General features: G+C 41.4%; 1 protein-coding gene and 1 long non-coding RNA gene across 4 annotated transcripts in view; one reads left to right on the top strand and one right to left on the bottom strand.

The window, feature by feature from the left end:
* Nucleotides 1-13,935, bottom strand: part of SNTB1 (syntrophin beta 1) — a 276,291-nt gene extending 262,356 nt beyond the window's left edge. For 2 of the 3 annotated variants that reach the window (NM_021021.4, XM_011517239.3), the window contains exon 1: nt 13,162-13,935. In NM_021021.4, coding sequence (NP_066301.1) covers nt 13,162-13,732 — 571 coding nt within the window. In that variant the 5' untranslated portion in view covers nt 13,733-13,935. Of the gene's footprint in view, nt 1-4,672; nt 5,322-13,161 lie in introns of those variants that run through there. The other variant, XM_047422126.1, reaches the window with a different exon arrangement.
* SNTB1-AS1 (SNTB1 antisense RNA 1) lies at nt 13,173-15,248 on the top strand. The gene has a single exon (NR_198992.1). It is a non-coding gene; the product is annotated as an SNTB1 antisense RNA 1 (long non-coding RNA).
* Nucleotides 15,249-24,492: the final 9,244 nt, after the last annotated feature.

Below are 24,492 nucleotides of genomic sequence, written 5' to 3' on the forward strand. Positions count from 1 at the left end.
CTCACCATATCTGATTGTCTTACACTCAGCAATTTGCTGCCCTACAGTTAATGACCAGCCTTGATTGTAGATTAGAACCACCTGGGGAACTTTTAAACCTTCTAAGGCCCCAGACTAATAAAATCAGGACCTCTTGGGGAAGGATCCAATCATGAGGGCTTTAAAAGCTTCCCAAGTGACCATAATATGTGGTCAAGCATGAGAACCAGAGCTGTAGGCTGTACACCAGTGCCTCTCAACTGGGGACTTTTTGCCCTCCAGAAAACACTTGTCAATGTCTGAAGACACTTTGGTTTAATACAACTAGAAGAAGATAATGCTACTTGCACCAAGTGAGTAGAGGCTAGAGATGCTGCTAAACATCCTATAATACAAAGGACAGCCTCCACAATGAAGAACTATCTGAACCAAAATGTCACTATCTCTGAAGTTGAGAAACCTTGATGTACACAATATCCCTTTTTAGTTCAATGAATCTAACTTGTACATAATCTACTCACAGGAACTGTGCAATCAGCAATCGGCTGGATTTCACAAACACTCTGCTAGCCATGCATTCCAAGAAGTTTTTAAAAATCTGGTATAGGTGGCCCAAAATATTGTCTTGCAAGTCTTCCCAAGGATAATATATTCAATCTTGATTGTGTCTGAACCAGCTTTTTATAAAAGATTTGAGATGAAAATGTGTCTAGGGCTGCGTGCAATACACCTTCCACCATGATTTCTTCTGAACTCTTTTAGAATAAGGAATGTGATTATGATGAAGCCTAATGTTAGTATATTATGTCTCCTCTGCATTCAACTCCACAGGCTGCAGGTTGCTTACAGAAAATACCTTCAGTTCTCTCCCTGAAGGCATCTTTTTGTTGGGAGTACACACAGCCCTCATAGAGATGCTGACCAGGGAGTTAATGTCCCAGAAGCAACCCTTAACGCAAAGATGGCTGGAGAGTTGGTAAATCCATTTTACCGGCTTTCTCACTCACTTTCAATTGGGACATGCTGAGCTCTAGAGGGACTGAGCAACTAACAGTACGGCCTTTATTGGTTCATTCCCTTCACTGTCTCATGTCTGCACTTTACTGCCAGTGTTTTCTAGAATTACATCCCAAATAAACTTCTTGCACTTAGATCCTCATTTCAGATTCTGTCTCTTGGGGTACACAAAGATGGAACAAATCTCAAAATAGATGAAATTATCAGATATGCATAGCACACTCAAAAACAAAGTAGAGAAAAAGGAACTTGGAGACATCTGAGTCAATACTGGTGCAAAATAGTCTTCAAAAAACTATTATAATATGCTCAGACAGACAAGCAAAGATAATGTGTCTACAAAACAACAAGAGGATGCTATATAAAAAAGGAACAATCAAAGAACAAGAAAATGGTTTGGGAACTTAGAGATATGATAGATGGAATGAAAAATCAATACAAGAGTTGTACATAAAAATCTAGTTCTCCAGAATGAAAAAAAAATGAATAAAAATGAAGGAAAAGTGGAGAAATAGCAACAAAAATCAGTTTATTAGTGGGTCAATATGGGGAGAGTCCAATGTTCAGTTAATAGGATTTCCGCATGCAGATAGTGTAAGAGTCTTCAGTTCAGAGGTCCCAATTTTCTGGGTAAACGGTGTCCTTAGTGACTTAGTGATTTTTTCATGACACACTTGGGGACCAAAGAAATACCTAACAAATCTATTTATTAAGTAATGAGGCCCAAACAACAGTAAGTATTTATGTCCTAAAAACTTGACACCTACTGGGCATTATGCAACTTTTCAAAACTTGAAATTATACTATAATAGATATTACCACTCTCATTTCCTGTTCCATACTAATTTTCATGACTTTTTGAAAAATCACAGCTACTGCAGAAAACTCACTTAAAAGATATCACATTATTGAAGGAATGTAGCAATCTTATGTTGAAACTCAAGTTATGATTTATCTGGTGTCCAAAAGATGTTACTACATCTTCCTTGAAATTGTAAAACATTCCCTGGCATCCTGGCAAGTTCCTTGGGGCACCCTATGTACCCAGGGGAACCTCCAAACATAGGTTAAGAGTCATGGCTTTAGCTTATTAGTACCTATCACATGCTTAGCAAATTGATTAACAAAAGCCCCACGCCAACTTTATATAACCTAGACAATTAGTGATTTAATAAAAGGTTATTAAAAGAGAATGAAAATGCCATACAATTTCTCACCAGTAACTCTGGAAAGTGCTGAAGGAAAGCAACAGCTAATTTAGGATATCATATTCAAATTATCCATCCAGTGAGAGATTAAAGACATTTTCAGATATTTACCTACCAAGCGTCTTTCTCAGGAAGCTACTGAAAAATGTGCTCCAGTGAAACTAGGGAGTAAATTCAGAGAAAAAGTAACAATGGATCCAGGAAAACAGACCCAGGAGAAAGTCAAGGACAGCCCAAGGAGGATGGTCATGCATCAGACCTAGATGGGACCAGTCCAGAGTAGCAGCGCTCCAGGAAAAAAATTATACAGAATGGGTGGATTGTTTGATATGCATCAGCATTGAAAAAGTAAAATCACTGCTGGAAATTTAATAAATCTATTGTTGTATTCGAAAGAAAAAAATTGGGATAAGTACAAAAAAACTAAGCAAACAGGAAAAACAGAAGTGGTTAATAACTCTAAGAAATCTAATCATAGATATTACTTGGCTAAAAAATGGAATGATACTGTCATGGTCATAATTTTGTAAACATAGCCTGATTTAGCTAATAATGCCTAGAATTGATATATCAAGAAAAAGCAGTATAAGCATATTACTTAGAATATTAAAATATATTCTAGTATGAATAGAGTTTAAAATATTAGAATATATGTTTTAATATTTGAATATACATTTTAATACTCTAAGTTTTGTATTCTGGGAAATATATAGTCTAATATCCTTGGCAGAAGAGGGTGTGGAGAAAGGTATGCAAAGAAATGCTGTAATCATATGTTATTTTGATTTAGAAAAATTCTAAAAATGAAGCAGAGAACAGAGGAAAATATAGGAATATTACAAGCAAGCAAGAAAATATCATTAACCTTGATTTTCATTGCAGATGAAAGAATGTTTCAGATGAAAGTATTTGAAATGCAAGGCCTCAAAGAACCAAATAATTACCTATATTTTAAGTTTCACTTTGCTAATGTAACTCTACTACATAAGTCACCTCTTCTGTGAAACATTCCATTCAATTTCAGATATCCGTAATGGCTTCTCTGGTCATTCTGTAAGTTCTGTGGCAACATTCACTCCTTTATAATTTATTATTGTTTTATAAAATCTATTTGTAACTTATATATATGTAATTTATTACTCTACACCTGTCTCTCCTCCAGACTGTTCTATTTTAGAAGGAAAGGAGTTTAATTTCATTCCTGTAATGGAATGAAAATTTTGCTTCAATCTATCAATAAGATCTCACCTAACAAATATTGTCAAAATTCATGATTTTAACAATATTGTATGACTATTATGCACTGTATTTAATCAATTCAAACTGTCCGATTTTTTCATATTTTATCATCTCTGATTTTGAGAATGTCCTTGAAAATTGCTGCCATCTTAAAATCCCTGGAGACTTGGATGGACATAGAGTTCTTCCAAAGAGTATTCACAGCTGCTCCTATCGTTTGTCCGGGGGCCTCCCCACCTGAGACCACTTTAAATTAAATTATCTATCTAAACTTTTTTAAAAAAATTCACAATGACATTGTAAAATCAAAATCTCAGGGAAGACATTTGTCCTTCCTTCTACTAGGACCAAATTCGAGACCTGCAAGTTCCTTTGTTGCAAGTTCCCTTTCTGAGTGATGGGTCTATTTCTCATTTTTCCCTGCATTGAAGAGATAACCCTTTGGTGTCCCAACTTTAAGCAATTATCTTATTAGACTCCCCATTGAAGACAGTTTTTTCTTTCTTAAAGATGAATAAACCATGATATATCTTCCACGGGATGGCCTCTGGGATTTCACGAAGCACAGGACTAAATAGAGAATAAAAAACTAAAGTATAGTGTTGGCTTAATAACAATTATGTTATTACATTTATGTAAACTTATAGAAAGAAGTTTTATAAATTAACAGTCAATAAAAGAAACATTTTGACTTTTTTCGGTTAATAATATTTCCACATTTCCATAATTACTGGAAGATTGAAGTAATTGAAAATTCAAACTTTCAAAGAAGTTTGAAGTTTGCTGTGTAGGTTAAATCTTTATGTATTGGCTTTCCCTTTACAAAACAGTTTCCTGCATGTTTCTGCACAACCAGCATTTTAATACAGATTTCATATTTGCCCACCAAAACCCACAGCAGCCTACACTGTGGTCTGGTTGATGGAAAACATCTGATGCTGCTTAAAAATCATCAAGGAAATACACCCGTGTGGAATCATAACTCTCACCTCACAAAGCAAACAACCTCGCCTTGGTCATTCGTTACACTGTTCCATTCCCTATATGGCAAATCACAAATTGTTCCTTGTACCCCTAAACAACTTTATATAACATATGATTAAAGCCTGTAACTGATACAATTGAATGCTATTGTATTATTGAACTCTAAGTATTATTGGGAAGTAATTATTGGGAAATAATACTTAGCTAAGCATGAAATGTGACATATTATATAATTTAGGACTTACCAAATTCCGGGCAATGAGTTAACTGTTTTACATACTTAGTCCCTTTACTCCTCAGAACAAACCTACAAAGAGGAAAGTTAATTTACTGATTAAGAAATTGAGAGTTGTAGTTAAGTAATTTGCACACAGTTAGAAATAAATGGAATAGGAATTGAAGCCCAGACGGAGTAAATCTAACACCCATCCTCTAAACCACTGCACTAACCTGCTTTGAGAAGAGAAAAAAACAAAAAACAACAAAAAAAAAACTGTGACAGGAAGAAACAATGGCAGTTTGAACAGCAATGCAAATAAATAGGATATGTCAAATGCAGTGATACTCACCAACCAGTCAGTTTAGATATATCTTTCCACACTCACCAACATGCAAAGAATGATGCTTCAAACCACAGGTAGATGTAGTCGTTTATAAAAAAGTACTGAGCTAAAAAGTATGGGTCATCATTTTAATTTCCAACATAATCACTATTAATCATAAGCTTTTCCATCTTGTCTTTCCCTGTTTGAGAGTGGCGCTCACTTGCATGAGTCTGTTAGGGCATTGATTTTGTGGTGGGTATTATATATTTTTGTCTTAAGTCTTAACTCTGCAGGCCAGAGCTAAAGGCAAGCATCATTATAGGTCAAGGCCAGTGAAGTGGGTAATGAGGTTTGGTATATAAAACACTTGGTATAAATGCAGGGGAACTTCTGGCTTTTAGAAAACATTAACAGCTTTGAAGTGCATCATTTGAAATGGAACGCTTAGTAGGCCAGTAGCTACCACAGAATAATTTTCCTTCACCAAACAGACCACTGGTAGATTCAGCTAGAAGCTTTTCACAAATATGGAGCCATGTGGAGTGAGTTATTTTTAATACACACTCCATGGGGTGACTGCTAAAATGCACCACTGAACATGAAGAGCATTTCCCAACCACAGCAGAAATAAGGAACTGAAGGGCTGTTCTGACCAGCTTCACGGAAGGAAAATGGTCTGAATTCTCACATTGCTACATATGCTTAAAAAAGAAGCAATTAAAATATCTAAGCAGACAGTTTTCATCTCCTCAGGTAGAAAGCGTTCTTACATATTCAGACTTGTAGGTCCCTGAGCCATAGGGGGTCAAAAGAAAGGTGGTTATGAATACCTGTATAACATTAAAAGGATAATTACACTACCTATACCTTTTGTAATCATGTCTGGCTCCTCTTTCGTCAACCATCTTTAAAGACTGGCTTAAATTAAATGTTTCCTAGGTCTATAAAGTCATTCTTTATTCCTCTACAGAACAAGGTATAGCTTTCATTATACCATGTCTAATGTTTACCACCACAGTCCAGTAGTATGAGTGGTGGATGATGTGAGTCATAAAACGGGCAACTAATCTTCCAATTCTTTCTCTCCCTTTCCTCCTTCTTTTCTTTCTCTCTTCCCCTTTCCTTTCCTTCCTTCCCTCCTTCCCTTTCTCCCTCCCTTTATTCCTTCCTCTTTCCTTCCACCCATCCATTCATCCACCCTTTAGCATTTTTTCCTTTCTAACACATTTTAACAGCCTAATATGTTCCAGGCACTGTGCTAAAGGCTAACTTGTATTGCTAATCACCGGCTCAAGTACTTCATAATCAGCCTCAAATACCCTACCTCCTCAATTACTTGAAGCTCCCTGAAATCAGAAGCCATGCCTTATACCGCTTTAACTTCCTTTTGTCCACCCACAGTGTCTTCAGTTTGTGTAGTATACAGCAGGATGGGCCTGATGAGGTGTTAGATCATCTGATTTCCAGCACCTGTTTGGAGAGTAGGAAGTCACCTACTCTCTGGCACTTCCATTTTACTAGAGCCTTACCAACCTCATGTTACTCTAGAGGGTGATCTACCTTAAATGCAAAACTGAGCATGACATTTCCCTGCTTAAAACTTTACCCTCAATCTGAAATTAATTCTGTAATACGCCCCCCCAAGGCATGGTCCTCAATTCCTTACTTTTTTTTCCCCACTCTTCCCCCTCAGTAGTCTGAAGGTCACATTCTGCCCTCTTAGCCACACTGAGCTACACATGAGGCCCAGACTCTTTCTTAGGCTACCTGAAGGCATTTGCCTTCTATAATGCCCTGTCCAAGAGCAGACCAGATACCCTTCCCATGGGCTACCACAGCATCTCATAATGCCCATAATGTAGCCATTTTTCCTCCCTCTTGTAGGTATCTGCATGGTACTTATCTGTATCTGTCAATAGAATGTTGCTTCTTTAGGGCAATGTTCTAGTAGAGTATAGTACATAAAAGACACTCAATAAATTAGTTGTTAAAAGAGCAAATATATAAATCGATGAGAAACTCTCTTGCAATGAGAGAGGAAGCGATTATTTATAAAGGTGCGGTTCATCATCTAATGACTACCCAGGACATTTCTTACCATTACAACTTCAGCAAACTAGATTTGGTAGGCAGAAGAATGCCCACCCTCTCCTCCAAACACACCCACGTCCTGGTCTTCTCCAGATCGTGTGAATATGTTAACTTACGTGGCAAAGGGGAATTAGGGTTGAAGATGGAATTAAGGTTGCTAATGAGATGACATTTAAATGGAGAATTATCCTGGTGTGTTTCTTAGTGACCAAAGTAATCACAAGGGTCCTTAAAAATGAAAGGGAAGCAGAAAAGAGACTGGAATGATTTGATGTGAGAAGGAATTAGACCGCCATTGCAGGCTTTCAAAATGGAATGGGACCAAAAGCCAAGGCATGTGGGTGGTCTCTAGCAGCTTCTGGAAAAGATTTAAAAATAAAAATTAAAAAAAAAAGGTTCTCCCCTAGACATCCAGAAAGGAATAAAACTTTGTTGATAATGTTAGTTCAGTGAGACCTGTGTCAGACTTCGGACTTTAAAAACTGTAATAAATGTGTGTTGTTTTAATTTACTAGGGTTTCTAGTAATTTGTTATAGCAGCAATAGAAAACTAGTACACCAGAAAAGAAAACAGAAGACCAATGCTGACAAATCATTCCAACCTTTGGAGCTTCACTTTCCTAATCAACAAATTGGGGATAAGCATCCCTTATCTACTTATCTCCTAGGGCCATTTATGAGCATTAAAAGCTATAAGGCCTGTGCTTGAATCTAAGACTCAGCACTTATTCACGGTGTGTTTTTGGCAAGTGACTTAAACTCTGTGCCTCAGTTTTCTTGTCTGTAAAATAGGGATACGAATAGCATTGGGATCCAGGGAGTTAATCCGTGTAAAGTGCTTAAAACAGCATGTGGCACAATGTTTTGCATGTGTTAGCTATTATTACATTCGAAAAAGAGTTTGCAAAAGGTTAGGCACTACAAAGTGACGAGGCAGAATTAGCATTCTTACAGGACACCAGTTCTCAAGAAGGTGGGGGGGTCCACACCTCCCTCCAGAATGGCAGTTCAGAAATTTATGAAGGCTTTTTAGCAACGAAGTGCAGAAGGGGTGTCACACTGCTGGCATTTAGTGAAGGAAGCCAGGGAACCTGGAGATCCTGGAACACCTGGGGTAGTCCTTCACAGTGAAAGGCTTGTCTAGCTCCTAAATGTAAATGATGCCACACAGCCCTACTCATCTTCATGTGCAGCCGTGCATTGGTAGTGATTTAACATAAAGGTGCGAGCATCTAACTCTTTCATTATGACCTCTGATGTAGTTGTGTCCATGCATTTATCTATTGAAACATGGTTTTTGTTTTAACAATTTATTTTATTTCTCCTTTATATTACTACTAGGGCGTTCTATTGATGTTTAAACTTAAAGTAGAGTTAGGCTATGTTATTTGTGAAATTCACTTTACAATAATAAAAGGGGTGTTAAAATTTTGTTATTAGTGATGTGCACTGGGTCTGAGTTTATAGGATTTAAGACAGAATAAGGTTAGAGATGGCTTAACCCAGCTCCCTATGCTTTCCAGTAAAGAAAACTAAGCCCTAAAAAGATGAAATTTCTTGTAAAAGTGAAACTAGTAGAAGATAAAAACCTAGGTTTCAAGACTTGAATCCCAGGGTATTGGGTATTCTTCAAGAATCTGTACATCCTAAATAAAATAAGATTCCTTAAAATTCAAATTTTCTTCCAATCCTGATATTTTATTCCAGAAAATCACTGCCCCTCCCTTGCTCCCATCTTCCTCCTCGATCATTCCCACTTCCACCCTTGGAGAAAGTGATTGTGACAGCGAGGTTCCAGACCATCTCAGGCAAACATTCCAGGGGAGCACTGCTGAAGGGGAAGCTCTAACGGACAGGGTTAATGTCAACAACTGTCCTTGACTTTCTTCTTTGAGTTTCCACTGTTTCCAGTTCAGTTCCATAGGAGACCTTTGGGATCAAAGGATTATTCAGTGCACTCCACCTCCATACTCCAACATGAGTCTTCCAGAAGATTCTGACTCCTTGATCTCAACAAAGTTATGGATAAATTAATTTCCTTGTAGCTTCAGTTACAAAAAAGTCGACCTATTTCAAATTACTATTTTACTATCAATCCAAGAGCAAAAAACTCCTCTGTCCCCCCTGACCTGGAGCTGCCAAGGACGTTTGTGCAGGTGCACTGTGCCCAGCTCCAGAGGGTGCGATTGACACTATGGTCTATGTGAATGCTGTTGCTGGAATTACAGGTCCAATACCTGCATGGCTGGATGCGCAGTCCCTGCCCCTACTCCTTAAAATGAGAAATGAGCTTGTGATGTGAAGATTCCTGATCTTAACTTTAATGAAAATTGTCTAAACACCGGCTTAACTGGCAGAGTTTATTCACGATATAAGTTTGGATTACATTTAGTCTCCTTGCTGGCCATGTGTTTAACCATGGTAGGGCTGGGCCATGTTACAGCAGCTTCGTTTTGACAGCAGACATTTAGTGCATTAGGTTTTTAAGACTCACTCCTCCTTCCCGTCCCTCCCTTTTGAGTGGCCCACACAATTGCTGTTTCCTGCTGATTTGTCCCCAGCACTTCAGGAGTGGGGCAGAAGAATGCTTTGAACCCAATAACTCCAACCAGTTCAAGTACACAGTTCCAAGTGGAAACTCAGAGCATCAGTATTGCCTAGAGGTTAAAAGTATAAGCTTTCATATCAGATAGATTTGGAATGCTCCTGGCTATGTTACATTATTTATATTTATATTTTTTATTTTTTTATTTTTTTTGAGATGGAGTCTTGCTCTATCGCCCAGGCTGGAGTGCAATGGCACAATCTCAGCTCACTGCCACCTACACCTTCTGGATTCAAGAGATTCTCCTGCCTCAGCCTCCCCAGTAGCTGAGGTTACAGGCATGGGGCACGATGCCTGGCTAATTTTTGTATTTTTAGTCAAGACAGGGTTTCACCATGTTGACCAGGCTGGTCTTGAACTCCTGACCTTGTGATCTGCCCACCTCAGCTTCCCAAAGTGCTGGGATTATAGGCGTGAGCTACCGTACCGGCCACTATGTTACTTTATGCAAAAAACTTAATGTCTGTAAGCTTTAATTTCCTCATCAGGAAAATGAATAATAACAACAGTACTGGCCTCAGTTACTGTTAAGTGTAACAGGTAAAGCCTGGCACATATTAAGTGCTCAATAAATGTTAGCTATTGTTATGATTCTCTTTCTCCAGGTTCTGTTTAACTCCTCTGGTCTCACAGGAATGGTCTCCCAGCATTACACCATAGTACAAAAAAAGTGTTATAAAAATGAGAAATATAAACTCCAGTAAAGGAAAAAGATAGAACTGTCCTTGAGAAGGGATAGTTTCATGTTCATTTCATTTGAATTGTAAAACTAACTACTTCCAGCGGATATTTGATATACGCCTTTCATTCTCATTGTGTTCTTCCATACAGCAGCCCTGTAAAGTAAGCAGGTCCAGCAGATTTCCTTATTCCCATCTCGCGGATGAAGACACTGAGACTCAGGGAGGTTATGTTAATTCTGTGGCGGAATCTATGCCTAGAATGCAGGCATTGAAACTTTTCCAGGGTTTCACTTTACAGGGTGTTCCACTTGTAGAGGTAGTAACTCTCCACCAGGGGGCGCATGTCATGCGGTGGGGTGCATACAGGCGGTGGTTGGAGTACTAAACTAATCTCCATTTACTCCCCCAATAAACAAACAAAAAGGAATCTAGGTTTTTTTAAAAAAAAGGGTGCACTTGCTATATAAATGTACCTTTAAAACATCTCCCTTTGCCCTGCCATACAACCAGATTACATTTTCAAAGCCTCTCCTATGTAGAAACTCTGGAATCCACACTGCATTTCAGAATACGAAGAAGTAGGTATGTCTTCTTAAAAAGCCCTTGAGGTGATCCTAATAAGCCCCCTCAAATGGGAATCCCTGTATTAGACTAAGCTACAAAAGAGAGGATTGTGATATTTGACTTGATGGTATTTGATGACTACCATTGCATTGAGAATGAACACTTTGGCTCAGAATAAGAGACGCTGTTTTGAGCAGGGCCTCCGCTTCTCTCATTAGCAGCTGATTTTGAAAAACTTGGGCTGAGGATAAGGCTGCTACACTGAGCCAAAAAGGTTCATATCTCAGAGACCCACAGGGTTTCTCCAGAGGTCCTGCCTGTGACAAACCACAAAGTGTTCTAAGAATGTCATATTAGAGGTTTTTACAAAACTCACTTTTCAGTTTCTGTTTCAAGAAAGTCACATAACTGCTTGATTTTTTTTCTTTCTCTAAGTTTATTTTCAATTGCAGAGAAATTTCTTCCTCTTTTTGGGTGAGAGATATTTTTTACCTCTTTGCCAAGTCATTATTCATTAAAAGAGGAAGAAAAGAAGGGACATTATAAAGTATGGTACCTAAAATAAAATGACCCGCCTTCCGCCCCACCCCAACCCCTCCTCCAGTATTTACAGTAAGTATTGCAAACCGAGCAGGTGCCCAACAGTTTATAGTCCAAATAACACTTGCCCCAGATCCCACCTGCCCCTTGTCACACAAACCAACACACACTTGAGTCAAGCAAACTTTTTTTCTGTTATGTTAATCATCAAGCCAAAGCAAACAGCTTTCCACTTTCTGGGTCCAGGGTGGCAATTGACTATGAAGACATCGCAAATCCTCTAGACAAACAAGGTTGGTGGGGGAGGATTTCTCTGCATTGTGGGCCAGGAGGTGGACCGTGACATACCAGGGAGTTGCATCAGCTGTCACACACTAGTGATGCTGGCACCCTTACTTTAAACTTTCTCAGTTTCACACACTAGTGCCACGACTCGGTAAGCAGGAAATTGACTTAAGTCCTTAGTTTAGGGCTTAAATCAATCACCATATTACAAGGTCTCAGCTGAAACAGTCTATTTCAATAGCTACGGGCTCATTTATTCATTTACTCAGCATGCATGTCATGGAGCAACTAAGCTCAAGAGAGACTCACCACTAAATAAAAGACTCCAGATACCGCAATCTACAGCTAGGCTAGGCTGAGTAAATAGATAAAATAATTACACGTTATTAGTGCTGACAGAGGTATGTACACAGCACTAAAGAGAAGAGAAACAAGTGAGAAATGCAGCTGTAGGCAGACAGGAGAATTCAGTTTACTACCATATGCCCTTCTCCCCCACATAACTCAACATAGCCATGAACAGTGCAAAACGGTGGTTCCTATTCTATTCACATTCAACAATGAGGGGACTGGGGACATCAGATCTCAAGAGAGAGAGTAGTTTCTAGGCTCTTCGCACGCAGGGGAAACTGTTTACAAATGCAAAGTTGTTTCCACACCACTCAGAAAGGGCTCCAGAAAACGCAGACAGAAAAATCACTTCACCAGCTCTCAACCCAGAGGAACCTGGAATCCAGACTGACCGGCCAGATGCCCGGCAGGGAGAGCGAATTTTTCCCAAAACTGCAACATATTCCCCGGCCCCTGACATAACTCTCCAGGCATAACCCTAGTCCCCCATTTGCAGGGGGAACGTCCAGAAGGATAGTCGGAGTTTTAGCATTCACAATATTGCCACCTCTCTCTCACCCCTTTATGAGTCAACCCTCTTCTGCTGGGCTGCCCAGGCTTTGGAGTGGGAAATTTTGCCAAAGCGGAAAACTATGAGTTGCAATTACGCAGTAGCCCTGCTTGGCAACGTTGGATGTAGGAATATTCTAAGTTCACCCTTCATTCTCAATTCCATATCCCAGTCCCTACACTCTACCAGGATTATCCGCAGATAAAAATGAAACAACGTATACTAAGCAGGCAATCCGGCTGGGAAACCCTGCTAGCCTCGCTTTTCCATACACCCCTCCTGGATTAAAGCCTGGAAAGACTGCGGGCTGGAGACAAATTGCCCCCAGGGTGGGTAAAAGTTGACAAAACTCTATGCTGCCACCCCCTGCGCCACCCTTCCCCCCCCCCCAACACACACACACCCGGCCCCCTGGGGTGTGTCCGCATGTGGCCGAGTGAGTGTGAGTGTGAGCGTGCGGGTGGGAAGCCGAGCAGGTGTGTGCGCGCCCGGCGCGGCCCGCGCGCTGTTAACCCCTTACCTTCCAGCAGCACTTCCTTGCCCGCGCGCTTCAACGCCTGCACCGCCTCGTCGTGGGTGGCGTCCCGCAGGTCGGCTCCGTTCACGGACAGGATGGCGTCGCCCACGTACAGGGCTTGGGTCTGGTCCGCCGCCAGCCCCTTGAAGATCTTGCTGATGAGGATGGGCATCTTGTTCTCCTTGCCCCCCTTGATGCTGATCCCCAGCCCGCCCAGCTCCTGCTTCAGCACCTTCACGCCACGCTTCTGGTTCGAGATGGACTCGGGCACCTGCTCGGGCAGGTCGGTGAAAGCGGTGCGGACCCCGGCGGGCGAGTCCGGGGGCTGCGCGCCGCCCGCGCCCGGGTGCCCAGCCCCGGCGCCCCTGCAGAACGAGCCATTGGTGGCGGTCCCGATGCCGTTGTACGCCGCAGCGCCCTCCTCGCTGCTCAGAACCAGGGCGTCCTCGCTCAAGTTCACCAGAACTTTGTGCCAGCGATCCCGCACCAAAACTTCCAGCAGCCCGCTCCGCTGCGCCCGGCCGCCTCCCGCGCCAGCCGGCCCAGCCGCCGCCGCCGCCGCCGCTACCGCCATCTTTCCGGCATTCTTAAAATGCCATGTGATTGGAAAAGGGGGGAAAAGTGGGGAAGGGTGGCCGGGGGGAGGACGCGGGGCCCGGGGGAGCGAGGAGAGTGCGTCCCGCGGGGAGGTGGCGGCACGCGGGACTCCGCTCCGGGAGTTCGCAGACGCACTCGGCGGGAGTTGGCAGCTGCACTCAGGCTGGTTCCCCCTCGCCTGATCCTGACCGGGGTGGAGCAACCTAAAAGAAGAAGGAGAGACCGAGACAGGGGAGGGGAAAAAAGCCAGCAGCCAGTTGCAAAACCCCAAAGCAAGGGGAGCCGCGGAGCAGCTCAGCGCTGGAGAGAGTCCGTGGGAGGAGGCACGCTGGCGGTGAAGGGCGGGGACCCACAACCCAGCGGCCGCTCACCTGTTCCAGCCGCCGCAGCCTCGGCGGTCACACGCCACCCGCCCGCCCAGACCTCCCCTCCTCTGTCCCCAGAGCGCACGACGCCGCGGGGACAGCTTCCCGAGCGCCTTCCCCGTCCCGCTTCTCTCCAGCCCACCGCAGCCCCCTTTCTTCCCAGCTCCCCCACTCCGTGGGCGCCCACACTGCACCTTCGCCGGGTGCGTGCGTCCCGCCTCGGTGCCCTCACTCGGTCCTCCTGAGCCGACTTCCCTTTCATACCCAGCCCGTAGAATTGTCCCTGGGTCTTAACAACTCATTTGTAACTGATCCAGGTCTCCTCCCTCTGCTTCCTCAAACCCAGGCTTCGCTGCCTCTGCGGAGTTCTTACCTGTCTCTCCTTTCCACCCGGGTTCCCTGGAGGAAGCTAAACTCAGACCAAGGCCCTGGGCTCCCCAGGAGTTAAAAGGGAATACGCTGTCCCAAGATTCTAGAATGAAGAGTCAACGTAGCCCGAGTGGCTTAAACCTCCTGTCCTTAAATGCAAGAAATGTTTTCTATCGAGCCCTGGACAGGTGTCTCTGCTGGCCTGGGGTTTTCAACAGGTCATGCCTGCCTCAGACCCCAGGGACAAATGTTCTTCCAGCTCTAACTCATTCTATGCTTTAAGCTTTTGACCTATCTTTGTTTTCCCAGTGCCACACCAAATGCTGCCTGGGGATCTCTCTTTCTTCCTGAGTTCCCATATAAGAAGCCCCCCATTTAAGAATTCAGTTGGAATGGGTTGTATTTCAAAAGTTGCTTTGCAAGTTAGTTATTTGGATTTCAAGTTGCATTTTACCAGGGTAACAATATTATAATGATTGTTTACCTTCCCAGAGCAATCCAGAAATGCCCACATAACCCATGTCACACCTGAACCACCCTGAGTTCTTCTATCCTTGAACCTCTCAAGCTTTCCCCTAACTCTAAGCAGGTCTCATGGTCCACTCAAGGTGTTTCATGCTTCTCAGTTACGTCCCCTTCCCACTGCTGTCTACCCTCTCTCCAAACACAACACAAAACAAACCCACAACAGTTCTGTTAATTCCTGAAGTAAACCCAACCCAGCAAGGTGTTGAGAGGAAATAAATCTTATTGAACACATTCCCATTGATGTGTATCATCGTTGAAAGTTCTCTAAGTCTTTTAGAATGACTCACACTTTTAATCAAGGAGGCTTAAAGGCTCAGATGACTCCCTAAAGAGCGGAGTCCCAGCCAGGTCAAGGAATGAAATGAAAACATTTGGACATTTTCTTGAGAAGGCGGAGTCACTGCAGGTGAGAGGGTGCCCTGGGTTAATGCTTCTGCTTGTAGCTCTCCCTTTTCGTATATTTTTAACTCACCCATTTTCCAAAAACTCTTTACTCTTTCATGCAAAGATGGCCAGAGCAGGGATGGCAGTCTCAGGGGCTCTCCAGCCCTTTGTGATGTGCAGAATCAGACAAGGAGCTAATATAGATGGTACCACCATCCACTCTCAGGATGGAAAAGCAGCTGAGGCTGGCCCCTTGCTTTAGAGACTGAGGACTCACGTGCATCATTCTTCAGTGAAACCAGAGCCTGAGTATCTGCGTTGAAATCCAGATACACTAAGGTTGAGATAGGCACCAGAGTGCCAGTGTGAAGATTTACAAATCAAAACAGATCCACTCCTGGAACAGAAATCCTGCATCAACATCATGCCTGCATCTTGCCTCTGTGGACAAGCAATGTGGGAGGCCCAGGCACAACCACAGATTATGTATCGATTTGCCATAAGAAATTGTAGGCTCTGGGATGAGAATTTCTCAGAATCTCTGTGATAAGCACATTTTTTTTCTATGTAAGCAAACCTACATGGGAAGGAGTATGTTGCTTTTTGAAAGTTGCATCGGAATGAGAGGAGACAATTATTCAGCCTGAGGCATGTATGTTAGCCAGAGATGGCTTTGCCACTGGAATCATAATTACAGCCCCTATTCTAAATGCTTTACACATATTAACTTAATCCTCCCAGCAATTCTTGAGGATATTTACTATTACCGTCATTCCCATTTCACAGGTGAAGAAGGGGACTAAGTTAATAAGTTGCCCCTGTCATGTAATTAGTAAATGGCAGAGTCAGGATTTAAAGCCAGCTGTGAGAGTCTAGACTCTAAACTGTTGCTCTTACACTCTTGAAAATCCTCAAAGCCTGTTAGCTACAGCCCCTGTGTTCATCTGCACACTGAAGCCAGCCTTTCCACTGGGAGGGAGACACTGAGGAGGAAGGCCCTTCCCCTAGACCATATGGAGAAGGGTGGAACCAGCTGATGCCTCTGGCCTTTCCTTCTTTCCAAGGTTGGAGAACACCCTGCCCTCCCCAAGTCGACACATTTTTTTTCTATAGACATGTTAACAAGTTGAAACTGGTGACTTATGGTCTTATTATACTTCGCCTGTCTTTTTTTTTTTTTTTTTAAAAACTTATGGCTAGGCGCAGTGGCTCACGCCTGTAATTCCAGCACTTTGGGAGGCCCAGGTGGGCGGATCACCTGAGGTCAGGAGTTCAAGACCAGCCTGGCCAAGATAGTGAAACTCCGTCTCTACTAAAAATACAAACATTAGCCAGGTGTGGTGGCGGGCACCTGTAGTCCCAGCTACTTGGGAGATGGAGGCAGGAGAGTTGCTTGAACTCGGGAGGCAGAGGTTGCAGTGAGCAGAGATTGTGCCAGTGCACTCCAGCCTGGGTGACAGAGCGAGACTCCGTCTCAAAAAACCCCAAAAAACAAAAAAAAACTTTTTAATTTTAGGTTCAGGGGTACATGTACAGGTGTTTTATATAGGTAAATTGCATGTCACAGGGTTTGGTGTAATAACTCATATAATAAGCATAGTACCTTATAGGTAGTTTTTCAATCCTCACCCTCCTCCCGTCCTGCACCCTCAAGCAGGCCTGGGCGTTTGTTTTTCCCATCTCAGACAACTCCACATATCTGGCCTCTGATTGTTAATGCTGACTCTCAAAGGCGTACCTTATTGACCTCATTTTTCAGTTCAGTAAGGCTGGGACAACTGCACTGCAGCCCCATACTGTGTATAATTAGGAAAGCATGTACTCTCTTAGGTGTCCCCTTTCAGAGAATGGTCACTGGAATGGTCTGAAGCGACCTCCAGCTTGCTTACTCATAGATGTGGCATTTGAAGCTCAGAGCAGAGCAAGGAAGGATTCAAGGCCACACTGTAAGTTTGTGTCAAAGCTGAGTCTAGGAACAGTCCAACTTCAGGATTCAGGAAATTATACCTAAAGCCCCCTTTTTACCAGATTTCTTTCACTGAGCTCTCTTTCCCCTGTTCTGTATCCTCTTCCAGTCCTAACTCTGATTTCCATTTCCCACCCAGCCCAAACTGGGATCCTTCTGTTGCTCTTTCCCATGAGATAGCATTTTCCTACAGATATTTGGATGGATTTAGCCTTGTAAGAGTAGGTCACACAATCTTCAGCCGCACAGTAGCCACAGATACATAACAGAACAGTATCATGTGGGGAAAGAACCATCTTCTGTTTATTCCATAAAATTTTGTTGTGCCCCTACCATGTCCCAGGCACTCTTCTTGGTGCTGGGATACGGGAGTGGACAAACCAGCAAAGACTCTCTCTGTGAAGCTTGCATTGTAGGGTAGGGTGGAAGTGGAGATGGACTATAAGCACATCAGATACTTTCATGTAGAAGTAAATGCTAGGAAGAAAAAACAGTCATAAAATTGAGAGCTGCTGAGGACCAGGGGCTACTGGAGATGTTGGCTATTAAGGAAAGCCTTTGTGAAAAGGTGACATTTAGACTGAGACATGAATAATAAGAGGCAAGCCTTGTAAAGAGCTAGGAAAGAGGGTCCCAGGGAGAAGGAAAATCCAGTGCAAAGCACCCGAGACAGAACCAAGCTGGTCTGATTCAAAAGACCCAAAGGAGGTCAATGTGGCTGGGGCAGCCCATGGGAGGAAAAAAGAGGTAAGAGAGGAGATCAGAGAGATAGGTTTGACCAGGCCACAGCTTGAGGCCTTGGAGGATCATAACACAGACCATCTTCCTTGTCCTCTTTGAGTTTCAACAACCATATGTTTTGGGTTTTGAAGAACAGTGCTGTTTTCAAAAATTACTTTCAATTACCTGCTAAGTAAATTTCTACTGATTAGAATATGTGCTCCAATATTTCAGTTTGGAAAATATGATCACTGTGCTTTTGATAGTGTTTTGTGAATAACAGATTGAGCATCTTTAAGGGGATTTTTCCAGTGCATATAGAATGGAGAGTGGATACAGTGTGAATACTGGAGAAGAGGAAATGGAGAGCTCTTTGATATCTATGGGTATGTTAGAGACCAGAATGAAAGCGGAGCAGGAGGGGTTCTTGAGATGCAAAACTCCCAAGATGAGGCCTGCCTATTTAAACAGGTATCAACCCACACTTTCTGAGCATATACTTTGGTAAATAACTTAGGCAGGTGCTGGAGACAGGCACACCCAGGGATGCAAAGATGATCAAGACAGGAAGACAGACATGTACACAAAGAGCCCACAGGGAGAATTAGGTAGCTGCAGTGCTGAGAGTGAAATGAGTCTGGAAGCAGCCAGCCTCCAGATTCCAAATCCCAATGCTAGATTAGTGATTCTTATTTTAAAGGTAAAGCACTGAGAATGGGGGATGGCACATAATTAGAAGGCTGAGTGGTTTCTTTCGTCTCTGGTGTGCCCCAGTTGGCTAGCAGGTATGTCACCATTTTAAAAGGATTGGGAAACTCTCCCTATTGCATATACCTGCATAGACCTGGGCAAGTCCTTGGTAAACTAGATAGACCATCACCCAGACTCTCAGCCAACCAGTCAGTCAAGTGAGAGTTATTTGACTGCTCACTATGTTTAGAATTTGATTGTGGGGATGTTTTCAGGCTTAACCTAAGGCAGAGTTGTAAAGTAATTAGTTGTTTATCCTTCATCGTCTGTTATTGATTTCTACTCTTTTTACTTCTCTTCTATAACAATCACTGTTGAAACAAACTTTGTACTAGTATTTTGATATCTATGGTATAAATTTGTCATTTTTCCTCAGGGATTATACATTTGAAACTGTGGAATTGTAGATTCCATTTGGCAGACATGTCAAACATAACAGATCTGTGAAATCCTAATAGAAATCTATCTCACTACATACTAGAAACTTCAGCAAATGGGCCTAAGTAGGTATATCAGATGTGGAAAGTAAAAAGGAATAAGAAATCAAAGTTTCACCCATATGCATCTTTAAAATAATATGAAAAGAAATTTGAAATAACTATTTCAGGGCCTTGCTAAACTATTATTACTCTTCAGATTGCAAAGGAGATTGGTTATTAAATTACTAGGAGAACATTTGCCATCGGGGTCTATATGTGAGGAGACCTCTGCATCCTTTCTCTACCATCTCTACTTCCTTTATGGAGTCATTTCTGTGTCTCTCCCTTGATTCATGAGAAAGGGCAAATTTCTTTTCTTACTCTGTATCATAACCTGCTGGCTCAGTTTTGTTTATAACTCACCTGACCCACTCCTCTCTGCTCCAGCAGTTTCCTTCCAGACACCCCCGCCCCATCCCTGGTTACCTCTTTGTACTGGACTCTTAGTCCATCAGTATGACTAGCACGAATTCTCTTATATCCTAAATGGATATCTCTGCCTTCTGTTTCTTAACTATAACTGAAACTTGGAATAGTCCCCAAATACCACATCCTTATCCCACTGCCTTCTCTGGCAAGGGCCTCAAGTTCTTCTACTGCTCTGGGAATCTCTTAAAGGTAAACCAAGACTTTTGCTGCCTAGGAATATTTCCAGATCATGGAATGTTTAGGGCCTTTCATTTTTCATCACTGAACGAACTGTAGCACTTTCTTTAAATTATTTTTTGTCTTTCCCCCTACTCTTCTAACAACATAGACATTTTGCAGTGACTTAAGGTACTGGCTCATGCTTTTCCTTTTCAGTGCATTCTTCACTATTATCAGTCAGACGTGAGTATCTTTAAGTAAATTGTAATGCATTTTACCTGAAGTGGTTTTGTGATTTGGAACTATCTCTTCACTTCTGGACTTTGGTTTCTTGCCTATAAAATGATAGAATTTGATTTGATGGTTTCATTGAGCCCATAATTTTGATTCTAATTTGGTAGAAAGGAAAGACATAGCAAGAATTAATGACCTAATAATTAGAAATAATATGAGATGATTTCAGTACTTTCAGGCTTTAGAATCTAAACTTTAGATGTCCAGCTTGTGCTTATGGCAAACAAATTGAGTTTCATGGAAAAGGTAGGCTTTGAGTTGAGTCTTAAATAAATTACAGCCTTGGAGCATAACAGAAAACATTCCTAGTAGGGAGACCAACTTGGTCAAAGGCAAGAAGAAAAAGGATGTGTGTTTTCTTCATTGAGCAGTGGGTTGACCAGCTTGGATGGGTTTGGGAAAGAAATAAGACAGTGATCTGGTGAAAAGATAGTGTTATTAGTCAGAATACTTGGCTCCAAATGATGGAATTTCAACTGACACTAAATGCCAATGGGAAATGCATTGGTTCACATAGCCAATCTGCTAGAAGATCAAGGGAAAAACGAGCCTCAAGTACAGCTAGAACGTGATACCAGCACACTGCATTTTCTTAGGCTGTACAAGGCTAAACCATGGCCACTGGCAGCTTCCAGGTTCATGGTACTCAGCTTGGCTTCCAGGAAGGAAAGGACCCTTTTCTCCTAATCTCAATTCGAGAAAACTTTCATGAAAAGAGAGGAGTTAGGTGACTCAGCTTGGGTTACGTGTCTATCCTTCTGAACACAGAGAACATGATTGACAGCCAAAGCCTCATGGCTAGAGTGGGGGCAATAAGCAATTCACCAAAAGAAAGCTATGTGTTTACCAGAACACATCTGGAAGCAGACTGGGCCAGATTAAATGATAGTTCTTCACTATGGATATGTTGGAACCTTACTGTAGAATTTATTTAAAAGCACTGAGAAGCCATTCATTCCTACTAATCAAAAGAGAGGTGTTATCAAAACAGATACTTGTGACAGATTGAGGAATACGTAGTTGGGAAAGACTGAGATGCTTTAGCATGATTCCTTGCACACAATAGGAATACAAGCCTTTGGCAAACTGAAGCAGGAAAACTACTTAAGGAGATTGTTCAATGGCCTAGGCAGGATGGCTAAAAATCAGTATTTGTGTGGAAATAAAAGAGATGGTTTTAAAAAAAGATTGAACAGCTCGTGATGATTTATTTGATAGAGAACTAGGAAAAGGAGAAGAAGCCAATGAAATAATAATTAGTTTTTATTAAACCTTTACACTGTGTTAGACTCTGTGTGTACTTAACATATACCATTGATTCCAGACAGAAATTATTTGAGGTAGGTAATATCATCCCCATATTACAGATGAGAATGTTGCACTCAACAAGTTCACACTTCCTATAAGCATTGGAGTTGGGGTTCAAACCTAGTCTAACTTACATCTGTTCTCCTCCAAAGCTTATGCTCATAACTGTTACAATATACTAGGCATGAACTTAGGTAGTCAGAAAGAGTGTGACAGAACTTGTCAGGAGATGATGTGAGTTCATTTTAGATTTGTCAAGTTTGAGGGAATAGTGGAACATGAAACAGGTCATGGCCTAACGGCATTATAGTCGAGGGCCTAGATAAGGGCATTTAGGTATTTGTTATGGTTTGAATGTATGTGTTCCCCCAAAACTCATGTCAGAATGTAAGACCCAATATGATAGTATTAAGAGGTGGGGCCTTTGGGAGTTGATTAAGTCATGAGAGTAGAGCCCTCATAATGCAACTGGCGACATTATGAAAGGGCTGGAAATAACTAGGTAGCCCCTTTTGCCTTTCTATCTCTTCTGCCATGTGAGGACACAACATTTGTCCCTTCTGGAAGATTCAGCAACAAGGTGCCATCTTGGAAGAAGAGACCAGTCCCTCACTAGGTGCCAAACCTGCCAGTGCCTTGATCTTGGACTTCCCAGCCTCTAGAGCTGTGAAAAATACATTTCTGTTGTTTATAAATTAGGCAGTCTGAAGTATTTTGTTCTAGCAGCACAAACAGATTAAGACAGTATCATTTACTTAGATGTAAAACTTGGAGGCCAGGAGGAAGAACACACATTTAAAGGCAAAATGCAATTGCTGTACTTCACTTCTGAAATGAAAATTCAAGCCCTTTGAGGTATCACAAAACACTGCATTTACATACAGTGTCCACTGAACTAAACTCCAAAAAGGCAACTGGATGTCTGAAAGTTCTCATCTGCCTGGTGAAGGGACAAAGAAAACCAAAGCAAGCAAAAGGCAGAGCTTGGAGACAGTCTAAGGCAGCTGCCTCCTTTTCCCATCTCCATGAGTATAAATATTTTGCACCACAGAGGAAGGAAATTGTAGTGGAAGTAGAGAGGGGAAAGAATTCTCCCAGGAACATACTACAATAGAATGGCAAATTTCAGGAATAGCCAGACTGACCAGTATAGAGAAGAGTGAAGAAAAATGCTTTCAGAAGTAATTTAAAGGAGAAAACAAATTATCATTGGCTAACTAGAATCTCTGTTTTTCATATGTTTATGTTGAATATTATTTATGCAGGGAAGGAACTATGTTTAAAGTTTTATGGCTATTATAGAATTAAAGAGCTTCAAGGTAACATCTAGAAGTTGTTCCCAAACTTTGGAGGGAATCAGAACCACATGGGGAGCATGTTAAAAATGTGAGTAACATATCTAATAATTCCTTCTACATTTATCAGCAGACATACTTCTGTAATGAAGAGCTTTCTCCCATATACAGCTATTTTTGTTGCCGTCGTTTTTACATTTCACTTCAACATAGATTCTTCCTTAATGTGCCATATTCATTACTATCATTCTGTTTGTTGTTTTGATATCCAAAATTTGGCCACTATGAGCCTCTTCAAGCTGACTCCTATATTCTTTTGACAGGTCCCCTTTGTCCTTAAGCATTTTTTGTTTGTTTGTTTTTTGCCTTCTGGCAGGATTAACTTATATTTTATCTGCCTAGTCCTGGTATCAGCCATTCCTTTAAAGATCCCTGATTCCTTTTAGTAAGAAAGGTCACATAGGAACCAAGATCTGGAGAACAAGTAAGAAAGGTCACATAGGAACCAGGTAAGCTTATTGCTACTAAGGAAGACAGAAGGCGTTCATACTTATATCACCAATTCAAACCTAACATCATAAGGTACTTCCTTACCTTTCCTTATTCACATTTGTATCTCCCAATAAGTGAGAAATTTGGTTTTCAAAAATACCAATAGATTAATTCAGTTTTCTGCGTTCTACAGTATAAAAGGAAATTGTTTCAGAATTATTGTTTCAATAGCAATACCAACAACAAAACTACCGAACAAGTTCAAAATTTCTTTGCAGTTTGTTTTGTTCTTATATATCCCAGTAAAAGTGCACAAAGTACCACATAGATGCTTGATCTAATCTACCATCTAAATACAGGCAAACAGGCAGATTCAGACTATGGGATATTCAAAAAAGCAAGTGGCTTGGGTTCTTCAAAAATGTCAAGTTATGGAAGACAAGAAGCAGGGTGGAATTGCTTCAAATGAAAGAAAACTAAAGCAACATGAATACCAAATAAAAGGCAAAATCTTGGATTAAATCATCAAAGAGGAACTACAAGGACTTTTGTGTGTGATGAAGAAATTTAAATATAGATTATATTTGAAAATATAATTGCATCAAAGTGAATTAAATTTCTTAAGTGTGATAATAGTATTGTGGTTGTGAAATGTCTTTGCTCTTAAAGTATATGTGCTGATGTGTTTAGGGGTGACATGATGTCAATAACTGACTTTCAAATGGAGAAAGAAAATAACTCTCTAGGAAATATGGTAAACTATAAACTAACTTTTAAATATAGAGACAGAAACAAAGAGGATGTAACAGCAAGAGAAAGAGATCCAAATGTGGAAAAATTAGCAGTAAGAGAATCTAGTAATGAATAAATGGGTTTATGCTGTATGATTCAACTTTTTGTAGGTTAAATTTTTTTTTTCAAAATAGAGTTGGGGATAATAATGCAGAAACCTGAGCCCCACCTCAAAACATTCTGATGATTGCGATCTTAGTGTCTGAAAATGTAAATTTTATCAACAGGATTCTGATGCAGATAAGATAGCATTTTAAGAAAGATTAAGAAGATACATCATGGAAACTCAAGGCCAAAGACTCTTCAGGATCATATATCCTTGGCTAAAGAAACAATTTCTTTTGCCAAGCCAACACTGAAATTTCCTCTACCAAGGAATCAGTGGTTCTAGATCAGTCAAACCCAAG

Source organism: Homo sapiens, chromosome 8, assembly GCF_000001405.40.
Source record: "Homo sapiens chromosome 8, GRCh38.p14 Primary Assembly".
NCBI classification, from domain to species: domain Eukaryota; kingdom Metazoa; phylum Chordata; class Mammalia; order Primates; family Hominidae; genus Homo; species Homo sapiens.